Source organism: Homo sapiens, chromosome 10, assembly GCF_000001405.40.
Source record: "Homo sapiens chromosome 10, GRCh38.p14 Primary Assembly".
NCBI classification, from domain to species: domain Eukaryota; kingdom Metazoa; phylum Chordata; class Mammalia; order Primates; family Hominidae; genus Homo; species Homo sapiens.
In genome coordinates this window covers 13,119,991-13,138,622 of record NC_000010.11, presented here as the reverse complement: position 1 = coordinate 13,138,622, position 18,632 = coordinate 13,119,991, and the positions used below count along the sequence as shown (strand labels likewise).

The 18,632-nt window shown below is 41.3% G+C and overlaps 1 protein-coding gene across 4 annotated transcripts in view; it reads right to left on the bottom strand.

Annotated features, from left to right (window-relative positions):
• OPTN (optineurin) overlaps positions 315 to 18,632 on the bottom strand; it is a 38,227-nt gene continuing 19,909 nt past the window's right edge. For 3 of the 4 annotated variants that reach the window (NM_001008211.1, NM_001008213.1, NM_021980.4), the window contains 8 exons: positions 16,136 to 16,238; positions 14,513 to 14,628; positions 13,056 to 13,205; positions 12,584 to 12,677; positions 10,720 to 10,878; positions 6,426 to 6,556; positions 5,042 to 5,121; positions 347 to 1,878 (listed from right to left, as the gene is read on the bottom strand). In NM_001008211.1, coding sequence (NP_001008212.1) covers positions 1,757 to 1,878; positions 5,042 to 5,121; positions 6,426 to 6,556; positions 10,720 to 10,878; positions 12,584 to 12,677; positions 13,056 to 13,205; positions 14,513 to 14,628; positions 16,136 to 16,238 — 955 coding nt within the window. In that variant the 3' untranslated portion in view covers positions 347 to 1,756. Of the gene's footprint in view, positions 1,879 to 5,041; positions 5,122 to 6,425; positions 6,557 to 10,719; positions 10,879 to 12,583; positions 12,678 to 13,055; positions 13,206 to 14,512; positions 14,629 to 16,135; positions 16,239 to 18,632 lie in introns of all 4 variants that reach the window. The other variant, NM_001008212.2, reaches the window with a different exon arrangement.

Here is an 18,632-nt window from a genome sequence, read left to right as displayed (position 1 = left end):
TTAAATGTGAAACCATTTGGTTTCCTTCTCTGTTTAGGAGACTATAGAAATATATTTCCTCCAGTATAAGATGATAAGGGAAAAAATTTACATTAGAAACCATAACAAAGAAAAGTAAAAATGTCAGAGTTACTTTAGAAATGTCTTTAACAAATATTCTCCCTGAGGTGTGGTAGGGGACTCGTTTAATTGAAATTACTGTTGAATTTGTATCATGTGTTCTCTTGGCATGAAGATATAATGAACTATTTTGATTCTTATTGAAGTGTGTGTGTGTATAGTCAAGTTTGTCTAGGAGAGATTCTTAAGACAAATTTAAACAAAAGAGATCTTTTAATTTTTTCTTAAATGCTTTAGTATCTCAATGCATAAACACACTGTTTACTTTTACAGCTGGTCCAGTGTTATTTACTCTTGGCAAATTGTAGACTTACAAAACAAGGCAAATCCCTACCTATTCACCTTCTCAGCAAGAATGACTTCTAACTCACACAGCACATACTGGGCTCCAGTAAAGGGATCTGCTCATATCCATAGAACTAATGAAAGATATATGACTAAGTATACAGCTTAAATGAAGCCAAATGAGCTTAATACAGAAAATATATATGATGATATTAATCATATATAAACAATGTAAAAGATTCATAAGCAAAATTTTATTTTGCCATCACTAATTCTTGTGATTATGAAGATATAACCTAACCTAGGAAGAAAATAGGCAGCTGTTCTTTTTAGAAATTAATTATCTACTGTACAAGCCCACAGGCCTGCAGGTACAATGAAAGCATGAAGGTAACTTCTTTACACTGTGAATGGGTAAAGAAATCCAATGAGGCCAATGTTATCGGTTTCATCGATGCCAATATTTTTTCACTTGTCTTGATATTAAGTAAAGGCTAACTGCCTATGTGAAAACTTTGGTAAAATTATTGTGGCTGCAATAAAACTACAACATACACACATAACCTCCAACAGATCCATTTTAAATGAAGAAAAACAACTACAATTCGTTTTTAAAAATGCTTCAAAAACAGCACATACTGTGGCCACTTCATTGTTCCTGCATCCCTAAAAGGTTCTTAAAATTAATCAGTGAGGTTTCTTCCATCTAATTACATGAACTTTGTCACATGATGTCACATGCTAGCTAACTGCATGAGCAGTGCAGCTGCTCGCATCAACCAAACATAAAAAATATTAAAATTATTATCAGAAGAGTAGTAGGTAAGGATTCTACTTTGCGAGTTGATGGAACTCCACCAAAGGTGTTCTACGTAGAACAGGTACCTTTTCTTCTCCTTCCTTCCTTCTCCTTCCTTCCTTTTTTTCTTTCTTTCTTTCGAGACAGAGTCTCCCTCTGTCACCCAGGCTGGAGTGCAGTGGTGTCGTCTCGGCTCACTGCAACTGCCACTTCCTGGGTTCAAGCAATTCTCCTGCCTCAACCTCGCGAGTAGCTGCGACTACAGGCATGCGCCACCATGCTCGGCTAATTTTTGTAATTTTGGTAGAGACAGGGTTCCGCCATGTTGGCCAGGCTGGTCTCAAACCCTGACCCCAAGTGATCCACCCACCTCGACCTCCCAAAGTGCTGGGATTACAGGCATGAGCCACTGTGCCCGGCCTGTTTTCTTTCTTTTAAAACAAGAATAATGAGGCAAAATATTTGAGTGAAAACAAATAACACAAAAGCACAACTCTTGGAGGAAAAAATCTGACATTTACCAACAGTTTTGGGGAGGTGATACATCAACACTTAAATGATGCAATCCATCACGTGAATCTGTAACGTGTCTATGTCAGGCAGAACCTCTCCACACTTGGGGCAGGAATGAATCGGAATATTCCGCTGTTGCCGCCAGTCCCTGTCCTCAGCTCCTGGGAATAAGTATGATAATTCCATTAGTTCCATTTTGCAGGCAGTTGTGTTTGTTTCACTTGAAGAACAGATGGCGAGTTTTAACATCAGTTCAACTTCGTATTCAACACGTAGTGGGACATGAGCACAGGTGTTTGGTCTTTAACTGAAGTCATCACGATGCACATAGAGAAAAATCTCTCCAAGTGATACCTGCTTCCCTATTATTTTAGGATTTTTTTTTTTTTTTTTTTTTTTTGAGACGGAGTCTCGCTGTCACCCAGGCTGGAGGGCAGTGGCACGATCTTGGCTCACTGCAACCTCCGCCTCCCAGGTTCAAGTGATCCTCCTGCTTTGGCCTCCTGAGTAGCTGGGATCACAGGTGCGCGCCACCACGCCCAGCTAATTTTTGTATTTTTAGTAGAGATGTGGTTTTGCCATGTTGGCCAGACTGGTCTCGAACTCCTGACCTCATGATCTGCCCACCTTGGCCTCCCAAAGTGCTAGGATTACTGGCATGAGCCACTGCGCCTGGCCTGTTTTAGGATTTTTTTCTTTTCTTTACTTTTTTTTCTTGACAGATGGAGTCTCGCTCTTTCTCCCAGGCTAGAGTGCAGTGGCACAATCATAGCTCACTGCAGCCTCTAACTCCTGGGATCCAGTGACCCTCCTGCCTCGGCCTCCTGAATAGCTGCGACTACAGGCACGTGCCACCACACCTGGCTAGTTTTTAAAATTTTTGTAGGGATGGGATCTCACTATGTTGCCCAGGCTGGTTCTGAACTCCTGGTCTCAACTGATCCTTCCATCTCAGCCTCCCATGTACTGGGATTACAGGTGCATTGGTGCATTCTTTTAGGATTTAAACTGTATCCCAGTTTCAAGGTATGCGAAAATACATGGTTTCAGTTCTAGGTACAGGACAATGCATGTTCTAGTAAATACTAGGATATCTGCGAGAAGAAAAGGGATGAATGAGGATATAAGCAAAAGAGGAAGGGAATGTGGAGAAAGAAATCCACAGAGCCCAGGAGAGGTCTCCTAGAACAGAGTGTACCTTCCCAGAAGCAGAGGCAATCATCTCATTTGTTCAGCAGACACTTTTGAATCCTCTGGGATGTATAAAGACACTGCTGTGTGCCGGGAGACAGACGTGGTGGAGAAGCCAGGTGAGAGATGTGGCAGCAGTGGCGTGGCAAAAGTGTTAGGCACGAGTGTTAGGCCAGGTGAGTGTTAGGTGCAAGGGTGTCCATGGGAGAAAGGGAAGGGCCCCTAGTTTAGATCTTGGTGCAGAAAGGCCTCCTAGATGCGACCAATTAACTTGAGAGGGGCCTTGAGAATGAACAGGAGTTATCTACATAAAGTTAACAAGGAGGAATGATGGAAGAATGCACCCTATCATTTCCCCCAGTTTTGGAGTAGTACTGAGGTTCAAGCCTCAATCAGAGCATGTTCGAAATAAGCCCTGACCCTAGCTAGGTCCTGGATCCATACAAACTGTGATGGATGCAAGAAATTATTTCTGGCTCCCGGGCATCTCTCTGTTCTGACCTTTCTGGACCAATGCAAACCGTCTTGGTTTTTTGGACTCAGCCTAGACTTTGGTTTGGCTCTCAAAATGTTTGTTTTTGGAGGCAACCTTTATTTGCTTCTAAGTACATTACTTGGATGTAGTAACATGTATGAATATTTGAGATTGTGTTCAGCAGCCTTAAGAAGCATTTCTGAAGAGGTATGTATTGATCATAAAGCATGGTTTCCAAAGCAGGGAGCTTTCTAATCACCCCATTGCCAGAGAAGAGGGGTCAGCATCCGGGGCTGCCTTTGCTCTCTGACTCCCAGCATAAGCAGTACCTCTTGCACATCCTGGAGGACTCAAAAGTATCTGCTGAATAAATGAGACCATTGCCTCTGCTTCTGAGAAGGTACATTCTGTTCTAGGAGACCTCTCCTGGGTGGGTGGGTCACCTGAGGTCAGGAGTTTGAGACCAGCCTGGCCAACATGGTGAAACGCTGTCTCTACTGAAAATACAAATTAGCCGGGCGTGGTGGCTCACGCCTGTAATCCCAGCACTTTGGGAGGCCGACGTGGGCAGATCTCCTGGGGTCAGGAATTTGAGACCAGCCTGGCCAACATGGTGAAACCCTGTCTCTACTAAAATAAATTAGCCAGGCGTGGTGGCGTGCACCTGTAGTCCTAGCTACTTGGGAGGCTGAGCCAGGAGAATCGCTTGAACCCGGGAGGCGGAGGTTGCAGTGATCCACGATCATGCCACTGCACTCCAGCCTGGGCAAGAGAGTGGGACCCTGTCTCAAAATAAAAATAGAAATAAAAATAAAGTACTTAAGTATCTACCTAGAACACACAAACACCTATAAAATAGCAGACAGGTACCAACATAGAGGAATAAAGTACTTTGGAAGTTCAAAATGGAAACAGTTCATGGAGATGGAGTTTGAAATAGATTTTAAAGATGGGGTAAGAGGTCACTGGAAAGAGACTGGAGGAAGACAGGAATATGCATAAGAAAAGGGCGTCTCTGTGAAGGGCATAATACAAGCAAATACAAGCTTAGGACAAGTTCAAGGGGATGATTCAGTCTGGCTAATGTCTGTAAGAGAACAGAGGGAGACACGGTTTAAAAGTGTGGCTGTAGGCCGGGTACAGTGGCTTGCGCCTGTAATCCCGGTACTTTGGGAGACCGAGACAGGCAGGTTAGTTGAGGTCAGGAGTTCGAGACCAGCCTGGCCAACACGGTGAAACCCCATCTCTATTAAAAATACAAAAATTAGCTGGGTGTGGCGGTGCACGCCTGTAATTCCAGCCACTCGGGAGGCTGTGGAAGGAGAACCGTTTGAACACAGGAAGTGGAGGTTGCAGTGAGCCGAGATCTCGCCACTGCACTCCAGCCTGGACGACACAGCGAAATTCTGTCTCAAAAAAAAAGAAAAAAAAGAAAAAGTGTGGCCGTGCCAGGCACCTTCTGGCAGGGTGAAGGGTCTGGTCTGGATTCGGTGGGTAATGGATGGAGATGGGAGTGCTGTGGTAATGAGACTGACGGGTGCTATATTTTTGGTGCCTTGATTTGGAATCCATTGTAGAGAATGAAGTGGAATTTTTCTTCAAGCATCTTTTTCATAGGATAGCTATTTCCTGAAAATCCAGGATCACACGGGACTCACCTCTTTGAACAAGGTAAGCCTGCTGGTCAGAGTCACTTGTTCTCGCCCCATGACGACTCTGCATCTCCATCAAGGACTGCCTGCCAGGACGAAAAGCAACACGCTGTGTGATGTTCTACAACCCCGAAACATGACAACACTGAGCAGACAGTCCACAGAAGTAGGGGAAAAAAGACTCAAACTACACTGCCAAGGTTCATAAAAACCAGACTAATTTTAGTTTTAAATACTATTGGCACTAGGAGACTAGTGAAAGTAAATAATTACAGTTAAAAAAAATCAGGAAATAACCAAACTGTCATCAGTAGGAAACAGATTAGAAAGAAGTGGCATATTTATAAATCAAAATACAGCAATGAAGTATAATAAATTACATCCGCACATATCAAGAGAGCTCAAAATCATAATATTATGTAAAGTAAGCTGCAGAACAATACCTACAGTGATCATTTTGTAACTTAAACACAGAGAAATCAATATTATCTGGTTTTGAGATATGATATAGGTAAGTGTGTATGTGATATGTAAAAGTATAAAATAGATGGGGAAGCTACCCACCAAATTCCTAACAGCACAAGGTAAAGAAGAAAGGAATATAATGATGGATGGGGAACAAAGGAGACTTTGATTCTAACTACAACTCCCTTTTTCCTTTAATAAAAAAAAAATACTTGAAGCAAATAAAAGCAGTTGTCAATGCAGGAAGGAGTACATAGTAGAGTCTGTTATTTTATTCTCTGAATTTTGCTGTGTTTTAAAACTTTCTCAAAATAAATTTCTAAAAGTCAGAAGTAATTTTTGTTAGTATTTTTTAAAGAATATTCAGGAATTTAAAGTGCTACGAATATTTCATCCGTGACGATGGCAAGATAGGTCATTGGGACACGTAACATTATTGTTACAAGTGCATGGTGGCATGCACTTGTAGTTCCAGCTACTCGGGAGGCTGAGGCACGAGGATCACCTGAGCTCAGGAAGTTGAGGCTGCAGTGAACCATGATCATGCCACTGCACTCCAGCCTGGGTGACAGGAGTGAGACCCTGCCTCAAAAAACAAAACAAAACAACACAACATTTTAAAATCAAATCAAAATCCTTGCTTATCTAAAAGCAAGGAGCTTGATCAAGCTCCCACAAGTCTCTGTCAAGCTTTCCTGTAAGACAAACTAAGTGTTGGGAACATGATCACATGAAGTGTAAGTGAAGCAATTATTATTATTATTATTTATTTTTCAGACAGGGGACTCGCTCTGTCACCTAGGCAGGAGTGCAGTGGCGCGAACACAGCTATTCTTATAGTTCAAATCAGGAACGTCTTTGGACAGGCACCTCTTCTACGGCCATGCTGATGTGAGCTCTGGGTCCTCCTCTCTCTTTTCCTTACCTGCCTCCGTCTTCGAAAGCATCATTCTCTTTCAGCAGAACTGCCAGCTGCAATGCCAGTTGCTCCTTTTCCTCATGAATTTTCTCTCTCGCTGCTCTTTCAGCATGAAAATCAGAACAGTAAACTTCCATCTGTTAGAGGAAAAAAAGATACAGAAGTTAGTACCTAGATGAATGCAGATTCTTACAGTGTTTATGCGATGAGGAGGTAGTGCTGTATCCTTCAATAGCCCTTGTGAATCACAGATGCACAATCCTGCTAGAAAACAGTATAATGACCATGACTTTCCAGGTACATTCCGATAGCAGATACAAGCTGTGTTTGTGTGTGTGCTTTAAACAACACAAATCCTGCAACTGCACTGATATAGGTAGTTTAAATACTGTAGGTACCATTAATTCAGCAAAATTATCTGGACTTTTAGATAATAAACAATTCAGGATCAACTTAATATAGTAAATGATTACTTAATATAGTAAATTGATTCTGCCAGGTGTATTTATGAAGGCTGGTCTTAAGCTAAATTTAAAAGAATAATCATCACAAATAGATGCTATTTGTTAAATTCCAAACATGTGTGAGGTCCTATGTTGGGTGCTTTACATTTACTATCTTATTTTACCTTATGAAATATCCTGAGAATAAAGAATGGCTATCCTCATTTTACAAACTTAACGGCTCTTAATCTTGGGAAAATTTGTTAAGTGGCCAAATCAGCATTTGAACCAGACAGAAGACCATTTCCCATGAACTTTTCCATATTCAATCCATGTCCCATGTGTGGTCACCAGCCTCCTAAGATGGCTCCAGTGATCCTTGCCTCTTGGTATTCATCACCTTGTATGTTTCCCTCCCACAATGAATAAACCCAACCTGTGTAACCTCCAGGATGCCGCAGAAGTGATGGTGTACGGCTTCTGAGACTAGGTCACAAAAGACGCTGTCACTCCTTGCTCTCTGTTGGATCACTTGCTTTGGGGGAAGCCAGCTGCCATGACATGAGGGCACCCAAGCATCCCTCTGGAGGAGACCACATGGTGAGGAACTGAGGCCTCCTGCTGACAGCCTGGGCAACATGGCAAAACCTCATCGCTACTAAAAATACAAAAAATCAGCTGGGCATGATGGCATGCACTTGTAGTTCCAGCTACTTGGGAGGCTGAGGCACGAGGATCACCTGAGCCCAGGAAATAGAGGTTGCAGTGAACCACGATCATGCGACTGCACTCCAGCCTGGGTGACAGGAGTGTGACCCTGCCTCAAAAAACAAAACAACACAACATTTTAAAAATTAAGTAATTTTTAAAAAATTATAAATAACAAAACACTTAATAGTGTTTTAATATTTAATGCTGTCAGCTAATTGAGTGAACTGTTCCATTGGTATTGGAATTTAATACTAATTTTTCACTTTCTATGTTTAAAATTAGTTTTTTCTTTTCAAATTTGCTGGTTCTGAGATATAAATTATTATCCATTATTTTAAAAGTAAAATTAAAAATCTAAATATTCTATCAAAACTATAGTTACTTAAAAGTATGTAATAAAGAGATCATTTTAAGGGATATCCTATCAATGTGAGTGGTTCAGCATCTCACAGTGTTGGCAGTGGATCATGGGTGTTTTGGAGTATGACTTAAATTCGATTTAGTCTCACTTCTATCACTTACTAGCTTTGAGCCAGTAAGAACAGAGTCTTTGTTTTGTCTATTCCTATATCCCAGGCAGTAAGAACAGTGTCTGATTTTTTTTTTTTTTTTTTTTTTTTTTTTTGAGATAGAGTCTCGCTCTGTCGCCCAGGCTGGAGTGCAGTGGCATGATCTCGGCTCACTGCAACCTCTGCCTCCCAGGTTCAAGCAATTCTCCTGCCTCAGCCTCCCGAGTAGCTGGGACTACAGGTGCCCGCCAACACGCTCGGCTAATTTTTGTATTTTTAGTAGAGACGGGGTTTCACCATATTGGCCAGGTTGGTCTCGAACTCCTGACCTTGTAATCTGCCTGCCTCGGCCTCCCAAAGTGCTGGGATTACAGGTGTGAGCCACCATGCCCGGCCGTCTCTGACATATTATAAGTGCTCAAAAAAGAAGTTATTGAATGAATGAGCAAGAGTATCCATCAAGAGAAAACAAATGTCTATGTCTAGAATGAGCAAAAATACATGACTGCAGCAGAGTGGAAGAACCCAATGACATGAGTTACCCAAGCAAGGAAATGCTCTGAAGAGCTGAGAATGCAGGTTGAGGCTCTATTCCTGTAGAAATAAAACTAAAGCTATAAGTACCAGTCAACTGGCTGCATTTCACAGGGGTCAGCCACTCTGGGCAGCTGGTGATAATGAGTCTGTATGTAGGGAATAACAAACTGCTGACATTATTATATTAAAAATAATATGTTCATCAGATTGGCCAAGGTTTTTAAAATAATGCAAGAATGTGAGGACATAGGAGTGCTTATCTTTTGGTGAGAGTATAATTTTGGTTAGGCAGTTTTAGAAGACAGCTTGGTAATATTTATTTAACTGAGAAATGGACATAACTCATGATCCAACCATTCAAATGGATGCTGGCCAGGCACGGTGGCTCACGCCCGTAATCCCAGCTGGGCAGATCATGAGGTCAACTGTTCGAGACCACCATGGCTAACGTGGTGAAACTCCATCTCTACTAAAAATACAAAAATTAGCTGAGCGTGGTGGTGTGCGCCTGTAGTCCCAGCTACTTGGGAGGCTGAGGCAGGAGAATGGCTTGAACCCGGGAGGTGGAGGTTGCAGTGAGCCAAGATCGTGCCACTGCACTCCAGCCTGGTGACAGAGCTAGACTCTGTCTCAAAAAAAAAAAAAAAGTTTGATGCTTTATAATAAGACAGCATGGTACCAGAGCAAAGATATATGAGTAGACCAATAAAATAGAACAAAATCCAGAAACAGACCCATGCATATATGGACACAAGTTATGATGAAGAGGGCAGCAGAGCACTTAAGAAAAGATGGCTTAAATGGTGCCAAGTTAACTGGATATTCATATAGGAAAAAAATAAATATTTACCCTTACCTCATTTTCTATAGACAAAAGCCAATTTCAAATGGTTTGTACATCTTAATGTAAAAGGTAAGACAACAAAATTTTTAGAAGACAACAGAGGGAATATCTTCCTGGCCTTGGGGTAGTAAAAGTTTCTTAAACAGGACACAAAAAGTACTAATCATAAATGAGAAGGCTGATATACTGGACTACCTTAAAACTAAGAACTTTTGTTCCTCAAATGACACCTTTATGAGAGTGAAAAGGCAAAAATAACTGACAAAGACTTGTATGTGCAGTATACATAGAAGTCATTACATTTTTTTAAAAAGCCAGGCCAGGCGCAGTGGCTCATGCCTGTAATCCCAGCACTCTGGGAGGTGGAAGTGGGTGGATCACCTGAGGTCAGGAGTTTGAGACCAGCCTGGCCAACATGATGAAACCCCATCTCTACTAAAAATACAAAAATTAGCCAGGCATGTTGGCACATGCCTGTAGTCCCAGCTACATGGGAGGCTGAGGCAGGAGAATCACCTGAACCCAGGAGGCAGAGGTTGCAATGAGCCGAGATCATACCACTGTACTCCAGCCTGGGCGACAGAGCAAGACTCTGTCTCAAAAAAAATGCCAGGCAAACCAAACCAAAAAAAAAAAAAAAAAAAAAAAAAAAAAAAAGGCAGGCTTGATAAGGCACTTCACAAAAGAGGATACCTCAAAGGCCAAAAACACTTGAAAAAGTACTCTTTCCCATTAGTGATCAGGGAAATGCAAATTAAATGAGATACCACTATATACCCTCCAGAGTGGTTAAAGGAAAATGACTGATAATAGAAGTGTTGGTAAGATGTAGAGCCATGGAAACTCTCTGTTGATGGGAGTGAAAACTGGTCCAACCACTCTGGAAAACTGTTTGGCATTACCTGTTAAAAGTGAGTAACATGCAGAGCCTATGATCCAGCGACTCCACTCCTAGGTGTGTACCCAACAGAAATATAAAATATCCACATGTGAACAGAGCAACATGCACAGGAATGTCTTAGCAACGTTAATCATAATGCCACAAACTGGAAAGAATCCAATTACCTATTAAATGTAGAACAGATAAGATCCACTGAGCACTTTCCAAATGTTTCAATTTTAAAGTTTTAATACACTCACGGGTGAAAAAATATATAAAATAGAAAATTACAAACATTCTAAACACCATTGCTTTCCAATGCGAGAATACAGTCAGGGCTGGCCTCGCTCAGCTGGGGTTTTGGAAGGTGCCTCACCTGAGCCCTGAGGATGGTCATGGTTTCCAGGTCCTCTTCCTGCTTGGCAATGGTTTGCTTCATTTCATCCATTTGCAGCTGTTTGGAAGCCAGAGCCTTCTCTGCCAGTTCCAGTTTTTCACTCAGTTCCTTCAGCACTGCCCTGTCCACTTTTTCTGACTGAAAAAGAAACATTTATTCTAGAAATGGTTTTGAAATAATTCTGCCTGTTTTAGTAAAATATTAGAAAAAGGTTTATTTTTTTAATTATCAGCTCTGGCCGGGTGTGGTGGCTCATGCCTAGAATTGAGAGGCTGAGGTGGGAGGATCGTTTGAGCCCAGGAGTGGGAGACAAGCCTGGGCAACATAGCGAGATCTAAAAAATGTATCAGCTCTAACCAGTCTATTAATCAGCAACGCTAACTTATTCAGAAAGTTGTATTTAAGTTGTGGCTTGCAAATAATGAATTCCTAAAAAAAAGGTGATAACACCGAAATCAGGGATACAATAACAAACTCCAATGTTAATAAGGCTGTGACTCGTTGATACTGTTATTTTGCCACTTGTTACTTCCTGCAGTCAGTGGAAAAGAAGAAACATGTTTTAAATTTAAAATTATTAGGTCCAAGAGAGGAACACTACTGCTGGGCATGATGGCTCACACCTGTAATCCCAGCACTTTGGGAGGCTGAGGCACGTGGATTGCCTAAGCTCAGGAGTTCAAAACCATTCTGGGCAACATGGCAAAACCTCCTCTTTAAAAGAAAATAAATGAAAAACAAAGAGTATATTTACAAGGCTAAAAATTCAAAGATCCCTTCTAATTCACAAGCTTCTGTGGTCTCTAAACTATCACACCATGCTGGCATTATTACTAATTTATTTATTGTTTTCTTTTTTTAGAGACAGGTTCTCACTCTGTCACAGGCTGGAGTACAGTGGCGTGATCACAGCTCACTGCAGCCTTGACCTCCTAGGCTCAAGTGATCCTCCTGCCTCAGCCTCCCAAGGAGCTGGGACCGCAGGCACGAACATCACACTTGGTTAACTCTTTATTTTTTGTAGAGATAGGGCCTCCCTGTTGCCCAGGCTGGTCTCAGACTCCTGGGTTCAAATGATCCTCCAGCCTTGGCCTCCCAAAGTGCTGGGATTACATGCATGAGCTACCACACCTGGTCCATTATTATGAATTTAAACTGCAGGCTGATGATTCCAGGGTCCCAAATTCACTGACAGCAGGCACGCTGGTCTTGCACAATTCCCCAGAGCAGATGGCCCTTCCTACCCATAGAAGCCCATGCTCTTAGCTCTCCTACAAACCTATCCTTAGAAATACGAAGTGCTGGCCGGGCGCGGTGGCTCACGCCTGTAATCCCAGCACTTTGGGAGGCCGAGGCGGGTGGATCACGAGGTCAGGAGATCGAGACCATCCTGGCTAACAAGGTGAAACCCCGTCTCTACTAAAAATACAAAAAATTAGCCGGGCGCGGTGGCGGGCGCCTGTAGTCCCAGCTACTCGGGAGGCTGAGGCAGGAGAATGGCGTGAACCCAGGAGGCGGAGCTTGCAGTGAGCCGAGATCGCGCCACTGCACTCCAGCCTGGGCGACAGAGCGAGACTCCGTCTCAAAAAAAAAAAAAAAGAAATACGAAGTGCTTAATCCCTGACCATAGGACATTCACATCATCTTTGTACGCAATAAAGCACATTACACATATGTGGAACATCAGAAGTTACAAACCCTAGATGCAAGAAATAATGATACATTGGAAAACAACCTTTGAAACCAGATTTAGTGAAGGATTCATGTAACTATTTTATATACAAAACGTTCAACAGTTTCTGTTCATTACTAGGCTATGGAAGTAATTTTTTTCAGTGAATACCTCTTTTCTTGTTAGTTCCTCAATTGTTTTCAATGCATTATTATGTTCTTGAAGAAGCTTGTTGTGTGTCATCTGTAGCACAGTTAATTTGGACCTATTAAAAAAGATATTAAAAAATGGAATCCTGGGGAAAATATCATAGAAACTTATAGTCTTGCCTCCCAACCTTCTGAACACTCCAGTAGAAAAATCTTCTCGCCTACCTTTATCACCCCACGACCTACTAGCATTTCTTACTCTCAAAAAAAATCTTTTCTGAAAAATCAAGACAGAGTGCAAACAATCAGCATAATTTTATTATGACAAAACTTTTAAATTTTATCCCCCTCTCTGAGAGGTCTGCTAGGACTCCTTCAGATAAGTGAAAAAGAAATTTTTTAAAATTTATTCTCAAATCCGAATTCCAATCTGTATAAAAAGGCGATTCTCCCTCCTCTGCCCCGTCGCTGCCCTTCTGACTCAACATACTCACTTTTCATCCTCTGTTTTAGCCTGTTCCATTTTGATTTCTGATAGCATGCTTTCCACTTGTAGCTCTAACTTTTTGTTAGTATAAACAAGCTCTTGCTTTTCATTCAACTCTGATGGAATTGCAGAATTTTTCCTTTCAAGGGCCTGACACCTAAGAAAGGTCAAGATTTCATGAGGATAAACAATGCTCCTTTACGTCGCAGTGGCTTTTAAACAAACCCCAAGGTTATGTACAATATAAGAATTTTAGGGCTGTAGGGTTTATGAATGCAAAATGAAATACATAATCCTCCTTGCTTCTTCACTAGACCTGGCCATATTTCTGAACCCTTACGCCTAAACATAAAAAAGTACAGATCTAAGCTCACATGCAGTACTGTCCTCTTTGAATAATTGTTTAAACTAGTCATACAGATACATTTTTAGTATTTAAACACAGACCACAGTAGTAATTAGCTAAGGCGCTTCTCATGTAGTGATGTGTGGATATCTTTTATATTAAAAAAAAAGTTATAGGTTCTGTCAATTGCAAAGACTTTAGTTTCTGACAAAGATTCAATAAGGGAAAAAGGAAGTTCCCCTAAGTCTTCTTAAAGATCGGAAAGAGGATTTCAATATAATACAAATAAATGACAGCTATGCACAAAGCATTAATGCCCAGCCCATTAGACATATCATTTAACACAATGTATATAGAAGAAATTACAACACACAATTTACAAATGCCAAGACAGGCTCAGAGAATTGAAATAAATACCTTGCCCAACACAAATAAGTTGCAGACTCATATGTTAAATCTAGGTCTGTTTGTCCAAAGTCCTTAGTTGTAGCTGCCATGTTGTATCACGTTACCATAATTCTACAGAGTGTTGGGAATTATAACCTCAAGAAAACACACACACCTCCGTATTGTGCTAGAAACATGTTTGCCAATGAATCCAATAGAACAGCATCAACTTAGGTTTGCTAAGTTTTGGGTAACTTCTTACATCAAGAGAAACAAGCAAATGCCAAACGCTCAATCTACATGTTAGCCTGAAATAATTAACTGATTGAAATAACAAATTGAAATTGACCTTTTTCCAAATAAATGTCACTCAAGATCTTTATGCTCTTTTCATCTTTCTTTATGCTTACTCACATCAATGTCATCAGCTTAAGTCAGTAACAGGAAAACTAGCTCACAGCTTTACTGTAGAGATCTTACCCAGGCTCGTACATTTAACAAATGCCCCTAAATGGCAGAATTAAAGTTCTCCAGTCCCCAACCCCCCATCTTACAAGTATTTCATGCTCACACATTAACTGGAACATTAGTATATTCTGAATTTATATTTTAATTAGGTGTCTATTTTTCTTTTAGTCATAACATAGTTAAAAAACTATGTTTTTATATAGTAGTATACTTTGTAAAAATGTATATTTCAAAGGAGGATAAAATTGCTCTCTCATTCTTACTTTTCTTGAAGTCTCTTCTTCATTAGCTCAGCTTCGCTGAGTTTTGTATGAGCCTCTTGAAGCTCCTTAAACAGAGATGTCACCTGGAGGTTCAGTGCTTCCACTTCGCTTCCAACCTATCATACGGGAAATCCCAAACATATCTGTACAATTATCATCTGACATTAAACAAACCTCTTTAGGAGAAAACAGGCTGAACCATTAGTAGCCAATTAAGACTGGCTGGTGAATCAATCCAACTTTGACAATACCCCAAACATTGTGTAGGAAAAGAATGTTTTGGATACTTGGTACTTAGGTTTGCTAAGTTTTGGGTAACTTCTGTTTCCTAATAAAGCATGAACTAATCAATTTGGATGCACTGGGATAATGACTTTATCGCTATTAAAATGAACCCTATTCCAGGTTCAGAGATCATAGACCACAGAGGTGTCAAAGCACAGTCCTATCTATCCAGCTAACAACTTGCCCCCATACTCTCTTCCCAGTGTATGTTTCTAGTTTACTCAACTATTTTTGTTGTGCAGCCTTTTTCCTGGCAGCTCTATAATTTTTGTAAATGAGTTTCTGATGCCTTGAAAGACCATATTTCCCTGCTACTGGCTGTTGAATTCGTTTTAGTCAACAGGGAACTATTATTCACTGGTGGTCTCTTCATCTGTTTTCTAAATGTTCTCTCTTCTTTCAACAGTAAGGTCTCAGTCTCCTGACATACAATAGGCATTCAATGTACATATTTGTTGAATAAATTAATTACCTAAAGTGAATATTTTATGTAAATGCCTTTCACGTGGGCCCCTATGGCTATCAACCTTCACGGCTTCATTAACTTCCGAAAGCTGAAGACTCTCTGCAGACTCGAAGGCACCTCTCTCAATTACCAGACAACACTGAACAAGACAACAGTGAACCTTTTCCTTTCAAACTACTTTATTCAAACCAGTAATGGGATAGAACCCAAATCTTTCAATTCTCCCTCAAGTTTCTAAGTCATATCCTCAAATGATCTCATTATAAAGTGGACAACATTCCTTTTCCTACAGTAGGCTTGTTCATTGAAGGACCGAGGAGAAGAAATCAGTCAAGAAGAGACATAGGAAATCGTTTTGTAGAATACTGATAGAAATACATCTTGCAGCTGGGCGCAGTGGCTCATATCTGTAATCCCAGCACTCTGGGAGGCCGAGGTGGGAGGATCACGAGGTCAAGAGATCAAGACCATCCTGGCCAACATGGTGAAACCCTGTCTGTATTAAAAATACAAAAATTAGCCAGGCGTGGTGACGGGCACCTGTAATCCCAGCTACTTGGGAGGCTGAGGCAGGAGAACTGCTTGAACCTGGGAGGCGGAGGTTGCAGTGAGCTGAGATCGTGCCACTGCACTCCAGCCTGGCGACAGAGTGAGACTCCATCTCCAACAACAACAACAAAAAAGAAATACATCTCGCTACAATTGACACAGAGCAGGACAAGGACATATAAAAGGAATAGATAGATAATATTCAATATCAACATGATTTCTATATTTCTAAAGCAAATAACCCATCACAAGATTTGAATTCAGTGGCTGGACTACTCTCGTGTGTGTGGGTGTGGTAGTGGCCGTGGAATCTTAGGACTCACAGTCTCCGGGCCTTTCTCTTCATCATTCTCTTTCTCTGTGCTCCCCTCTGTCTGGGTTTCAATCTCAGAACGATTACTTGTTTTCTTTTCAAAATCTGAAACTCTGGAAAATCACAGAAGATAGAAAAGTTACTTTCTCTTTGGCTTTAAGAGAAATAGCAATTATTACAGAAGTACTAAAAAGAACATTGTTTACAATTGGGATAAAGGATCAGGGGTTTTCAAAATCTCTACACATTCACTATATTAGCATTAGTTTTATTTTTCATCCTAAAATTGGCTAGAATTGATTCACAGACAAATACACACAGAGGTAAAAGGCAAGTGAAACTCATCTTGAACACCATTTGTTTCCATGCAACTGTCCTATGCAGCAATGTTTTTGAAATTGTTTGTGTTTACACATGTGGATGCATGTGTGTTCCATGAACATGGTATCTCATTCATAAGAATTCATTAGAGAAGGAAAGACTTTTCCTTTTAGGACACAGCTAAGTTTAAAAGTCACCGAATAAACGACAACAAAAAAAGTAACACCATTCTTAACACCAAATCATAACCACAGGAAAGCCGTCCCAATCCAAATGAAACAAGAGACTGTGGTTAAAGATAATGGGTTGAACAGATGCATGCAATTTTTTTCCCAGCCCAAACTCTACTAAAAGGACCTTCAAAAAGCCATGTGCCTACAGGAACAAAGAAAAAGGGAGAGGAAATAATAGTAGGAAAATTTGGCAGTACAGGTCTGAGTGGGGCCTTACCAGCCCAAGAAGGCCGACCTTTGAGCCAACAGTAGGGACAGCCAAGAAGCAACCAGATTCACACTGTGGGAACTCCAGGACACTCAAGCATGAGTGACACCAGGAACCTCTGAAGTGATGACAAAGGTGGGGCCTTAGCTTTCCCCCTAAGATTAGGAACAAGACAAGGATGCCTGCTCTCTCCATTTCTATGTAACACTTTTTTTTTTTTTTTTTTTTTTTTTTTACAGGATAATCAGGCAAGAAAAAGAAATAAAAGGCATTCAGACTGGAAAAGAAGCAGCAAGACTATCTCTGCGATGACACAATCCTGGAGATAGCAATTCTCCCCAAATCATTTGGGGATACAATGCAATCCCTAGTAAGATCCCAGCTGGCTTTTTTCACAAATTAACAAGCTGATCCTAAAATTCTTACGCAACAGCAAAGAACCCAGAAGAGCCAACAGTCTTTAAAAAGAAGAACAAAGTTGGAAGGCACTATCTCTCGAGTGCAATTTCAAGTCTCTCCACCTTCTGATTCCCTTCCCTTAGCCACAGCAGGAGCTGGCTCACAGTTAACTCCTTCCTCATATGGTTAGGCTTTGTTGTCCCCACCCAGATCTCATCTTGAATTGTAATCCCCATAATCCCCATGTGTCAAGGGAGAGACCAGGTGGAGGTAATTGAATCACGGGGGCAGTTTCCTCCATGCTGTTCTCGTGATAGTGAGTGAGTTCTCATGAGATCTGATGGTTTTCTAAGTGTGTGGTAGTGCCTCCTGCGTTCCTTCTCCTTTCTGCCACCTTGTGAAGAAGGTGCCTTGCTTCCCCTTCGCTTTCCGCCAGGATTTGTTAGGTTTCCCAAGGCCTCCCTAGCCATGCTGAACTGTGAGTCAGTTAAACCTCTTTCTTTTATAAATTACCCAGTCTCAGGCGGTTCTTCATATAAGTATGAAAACGGGCTAATACACTTCCTGATTTCAAAACTTACTACAAAGCTATAGTACTCAAGACATTGTGGTACTGGCGTAAGGACAAACATAGATCAATGAAACAGAACTGAGAGTCTAATGAAGTTGAACTCCTATATCACAACATACACAGAAACAAACTCAAAATGGACCACAGGCTTAAATGTCAGAGATGAAACTACAAAATTCTTTTTTTTTTTTTTTTGAGACAGAGTCTCACTCTGTCACCCAGGCTGGAGTGCGGTGGCCAACTGTAATTTTGGCCACCGCGCCAGGCCAAAACTACAAAATTCTTAGGAGAAAAACATAGGAGTAAATCTTTGTGACCTTGGGTTAGGCAACGGTTTCTCAGATGGGACATCAAAAGCACAGGTGACAAAAGAAAAAGGAGATAAACTGTATTACATCAAAATAAAAACAAATGTGCTGCAAATGATACCATCAAGGGAAAAGACGATCCACAGAATGGGAGAAAATAGTTGCAGATCAGCCGGGCGCGGTGGCTCACGCCTGTAATCCCAGCGCTTTGGGAGGCTGAGGCGGGCAGATCACGAGGTCAGGAGATCGAGACCATCCTGGCTAACATGGTGAAACCCCGTCTCTACTAAAAATACAAAAAAAAAAAATTAGCCGGGCGTGGTGGCGGGCGCCTGTAGTCCCGGCTACTCGGGAGACTGAGGCAGGAGAATGGCGTGAACCCGGGAGGCGGAGCTTGCAGTGAGCCGAGATTGCGCCACTGCACTCCAGCCTGGGTGACAGAACGAGACTCCGTCTCAAAAAAAAAA